General features: G+C 36.6%; 1 pseudogene, besides 1 other annotated feature; it reads left to right on the top strand.

Annotated features, from left to right (window-relative positions):
- Positions 952–2,151: an enhancer, noted in NCBI's record as "MED14-independent group 3 enhancer chr7:79543944-79545143 (GRCh37/hg19 assembly coordinates)". NCBI's record gives its function as "activates an origin of replication core promoter dependent on BRD2, BRD4, P300/CBP and CDK7 cofactors, and independent of MED14, by STARR-seq in HCT116 cells {active_cell/tissue: HCT116}" and the evidence as "EXISTENCE:reporter gene assay evidence [ECO:0000049][PMID:35650434]".
- On the top strand, positions 4,571–4,675 carry RNU6-849P (RNA, U6 small nuclear 849, pseudogene; annotated as a pseudogene).

Raw genomic sequence — 4,918 nt, 5'->3', positions numbered from 1 at the left:
ATCTGACAATTATGTGTCTTGGGGTTGCTCTTCTCGAGGAGTATCTCTGTGGTGTTCTCTGTATTTCTTAAATTTGAATGTTGGCCTGTCTTGCTAGGTTGGGGAAGTTCTCCTGGATAATATCCTGCAGAGTGTTTTCCAACTTGGTTCTATTCTCCCCGTTACTTTCAGGTACACCAATCAAAGGTAGATGTGGTCTTTTCACATAGTCCCATATTTCTTGGAAGCTTTGTTCATTTCTTTTTACTCTTTTTTCTCTGAACTTCTCTTCTCACTTTATTTCATTAATTTGATCTTCAATCACTGATACTCTTTCTTCCACTTGATCAAATCAGCTATTGAAGCTTGTGCATCTGTCATGTAGTTCTTGTGCCATGGTTTTCAGCTCCATCAGGTCATTTAAGGTCTTCTCTACAGTGTTTATTCTAGTTAGCCATTCATTTAATCTTTTTTCGAGGTTTTTCACTTCCTTGCAATGGGTTCTAACATCTTCCTTTAGCTCAGAGAAGTTTTTTATTACCGACATTCTGAAGCCTACTTCTGTCAACTTGTCAAACTCATTCTCTATCCGGCTTTGTTCCGTTGCTGTCAAGGAGCTGCAATCCTTTGGAGGAGAAGAGGTGCTCTAGTTCTTAGAATTTTCAGCTTTTCTGCTCTGGTTTCTCCCCATCTTTGTGGTTTTGTCTACCTTTGGTCTTTGATGATGGTGACCTACAGATAACATTTTGGTGTGGGTGTCCTTTTTGTTGATGTTGATGCTGTTCCTTTCTGTTTGTTAGTTTTCCTTCTAACAATCAGGTCCTTCAGCTGCACGTCTGTTGGAGTTTGCTGGAGGTCCACTCCAGACCCTGTTTGCCTGGGTATCATCATTGGAGGCTGCAGAACAGCAAATATTGAAGAACAGCAAATATTGCTGCCTGATCCCTCCTCTGGAAGCTTCGTCCCAGAGGAGCACCCGCCTGTATGAGGTGTCAGTTGGCCCCTACTGAAAGGTATCTCCCAGTTAGGCTACATGGGGGTCAGGGACCCACTTGAGGAGGCAGTCTGTCCGTTCTCTGAGCTCAAACACCGTACTGGGAGAACCACTGCTCTCTTCAGGGCTGTCAGACAGGGACATTTAAGTCTGCAGAAGTTTCTGCTGCCTTTTGTTCAGCTTCTCCTACCCCCACAGGTAGAGACTACAAAGGCAGCTAGCCTTGCTGAGCTGTGGTGGGCTCCACCCAGTTCAAACTTCCCTGGCTGCTTTGTTTACCTTCTCAAGTCTCAGCAATGGCAGACGCCTCTCCCCCTGCCAGGCTGCTGCCTCACAGGTCGATCTCAGACTGCTGTGCTAGCAGTAAGCAAGGCTCCCTGAGGGTGGGATCCACCCAGCCAGGCATGGGATATAATCTCCTGGTGTGCCTTTTACTAAGACCACTGGAAAAGTGCAGTATTTGGGAGGGAGTGTCCCATTTTTCCAGGTACCATCTGTCATGGCTTCCCTTGGCTAGGAAAGGGAAATTCCCTGACCCCTTGTGCTTCCTGGCTGAGGTAATGCCCTGGCCTGCTTTGGCTCAACCTCCGTGGGATGCACCCAGTGTCCAACCAGTCCCAGTGAGATGAACAAGGTACCTCAGTTGGAAATGCAGAAATCCTCCATCTTCTGTGTCGATCACGCTGGGAGTTTCAGACCGGAGCTCTTCCTATTCGGCCATCTTGGAAGGGAATTGAGCCTGTTTTGTTAAAAAAGAATTATTTGTCACTTTTTTTCTAGTTAATTTTTCCCTTCTTTTATCTTTATGAATTCCTTTCTTCTCTTTCTTTTGGTTTGCCTTTTCTGGCCCCTGACATTTTGAGTGGGATGTTTAATTTACTGTTTTCACTCTTTCATTTTTAAATAAAATGAATATTTTTAGCTATGAATTTTCTTTCAAGTACTGTCTTAACTATATCCCATAAGGTCTTGTTTTATAGAGGGTCATTGAATCTCTATGTAAAAGGTTGTATTTTGGTCAGTGAACATTGTTTCCTTTTCAATTTTGTGTAATCTGTCGAGATATTCTTTATGGTCTATAATTTTTATTTTTCAAAATATTTTCAGGTGCAATTGGTTAGAAACTATATTTTTAATATTGGGGTGAATATCTCAATAAATTATGTAGATATAAATAGATTCTATCTAGATTCTCACATAATCCTTTTACTCTTGACCTAAGACGGTTTTATTGTATTAAATTCTCTTACCTCAGTGTGTTTCTAATGAACCATCTGTAGATTCTGTTTTATAAAAATGGTTTGTATATTATATAACATTTAGGGATTCATATCTGTTTTATCTTTGCTGTGAAGGTATAATATAATAACTCTTATTCTCATTTAATACTTTTTAGCCTTAATTATGTTTGATATGAAGTTGTTATCTTTGCTTTCCTTTTCTTGTTGTTTTGCTTGTTATTTTTTCATCCATTCTTTGATTTGTAGCCTCTCAAACTTTTTTAAGGGATTCTCTTGTCTACAATACAAAGTTGCATTTTGCTGTCATTCTACCTGAAATTTTTTACTTTTAATGAGCTAAGCCTACAAACACATAATAATTAATTATTCACTAAGTAATTACTTTTTTGTTTTCTTTTGTTTTTATCTTTTTAAGTAATAGAAAAGTTTATATTTTGGTTATAATGTTTACTGTTGTGTGAGTATCTCATTCCCCATTTTCCTTAGGAGTATCTGTGGATTTCTACAAGAAACAAATAAAACATTCACTTAGTTCCTCTTCCTTCCTTCTTCTTCACCATTTAATTTTAATCAATCATATTATCTTTCTTACTGCTATATTATTACTCTTAAATGTACACAAGTTTCTTGCATTCAAATGTTATCATTTGATTTCTAATCACTACTTATTAGGGAATCTTCTATAACATTTTATTTCCCCATTTCTCTCTCTCTCTCTTCTGTTCCTAGTTTTCTCTCTCTATTTTGTAAAGCATATATTTGTTATTTAATCTCAGTGACCCCCTTCCTCTCTCCCTCTCTTTCTCCATCCCTCTTCCTCTATCTCTTCTTCTCTCTTTATATATAGAATTTTACTTACTCAATGCTTAATACCAAAATTTTATATACAATCTCTTCAATCAGCTCCTGGTTGTCTAATCATATTTTCTAGGAGATTGCTTAGGAAAGATTCATAAACTTAAATTCTTGCACGTTTAAAACTGTTTTCTTAAAATCTTCATACTTGAAAGAAAGCTTGGCTGGATAAAACATTATTGCCTTACATTTTCTTCCTATGTGTGTCTGGTAAATACGGTGCCATTATCTTCTTGTATTACCGTTCCTCTCAAGAAGTCTGATGTCAATATAATTTTCTTTACTTTGTCAGTGCATTGATGTTTTTGATTGGAGGCCTATAGTTTTTACCTGTTATCTTTAAAATCTTATAATGTTAGGAACATGGTGTTACTGTTTAACATCCTAGGCCAATTTTCTCAGGCACACTGTGCATCTTTTTTACATGCAGATTCAGTTATTTTTAAAAATGAGAGCTTTTTGTATTCTAATTAAAAAAATATTAGATCTGTTTCTTTGCTTGATTATGCTTTGTTCTTTATTGCTTCTTTTGGTACTCTTTTCCCATGGAAATTGTATTTTCTTTGCTGGTTATGTACATTCCATCTTCTTTGTCTTTCTACCTTCTATTTATTCCTCTCTAAGTGTATCATTTGTCCATTTGGTCTCATTTCTATCCTCTTGATGTCATTTACTACACTTTAAGTAGTTTCTATTATCTTTTGGGTATCTTATGTTTAATCTTAATTTACAAGTTAATTTTGATTTTTTTTCTTTCCCAAGCTTTGTTCTTTCCCATTTAACATCGATTACCTGTCTCTTCTTAAAGTTTGTAATTTCCGTTTTTAAATGTTCTTTCACATCTTCAATGTCTTATTTTGTTATATTTTAAATTCTGGCAAGAATCTTACTTCTCAGCAGGTTTTGTCTGTGTCACTTAATGTGCTTTCATTTGTGAACCTGTTTTGATCCTCATCTTCAGTTTTTCATGAATGCCATGATTTTATTTTTCTTATCCATATTTCATTCTCCTAGAATAATGACTAGGAAAATATTTCTTTTATGTGGCTGGTGGGTAGCAGGTGGCTTTTCTGAGTTCTCATATCAAGGATTCTGCTTCTGTAGCAACAGGAAATGGTGGTTTTTAAACGTATGAAATCATTATTTAGTGGAGGTGCAGTTTGATTTTATTTTCATATTATATTCTGTTCCAGTAGGCTGTTTGTCATCAGCTGCTTCTTTTCCTCTATTTAAAACCAGCTGCTGACTCCAAATGCAACTGCTGCTACAGAAGTCACACACTACCAGATAATTGAAAGTCCTCACGGGACCCCACAGGACATAGTTTTGTAAAGCTTTATAAAGGTAAAAGATATGTTACAGCCACAGAGAGAAAGTGCAGACATTCGTAGAGGCACATAACTTATCAGTGCAGCCCTGTAGGGTCCTATCTCACTCACATAGGATGTGGTTCATCTTCGGTTTATGAGCCACCAAGGTAAATACAAGATATTTTGGTTTTGTACTTGCTTCGACAGCACATACTAGAACTGGAATGATACAGAGAAGATTAGCATGGCTTCTACACAAGAATGACATGAAAATTTATGAAGCATTCCAAATTTTTCAGGTTTCAAAATATCACAGTACCCCCAAAATATGTGCAACTATTAGGCATCATTTTTTTCAAAAAAGATACCTGATTTAATCTGTGAGTTAATTAGCTTCACTAATGCCAAGGTACAAATTTGCTAAGTAGTCTTTTACACCACACCTATCACTTAGATAAAACCTAGGCTTTATGACTTATTAAATCATGTATAACTGTCAATCTATACATTTTCACTAAGCAGTACAGATAACAAGCTAG

This window comes from Homo sapiens, chromosome 7 (assembly GCF_000001405.40).
Source record: "Homo sapiens chromosome 7, GRCh38.p14 Primary Assembly".
Taxonomy (NCBI): domain Eukaryota; kingdom Metazoa; phylum Chordata; class Mammalia; order Primates; family Hominidae; genus Homo; species Homo sapiens.
This window is presented reverse-complemented; position numbering and strand designations above follow the sequence as displayed.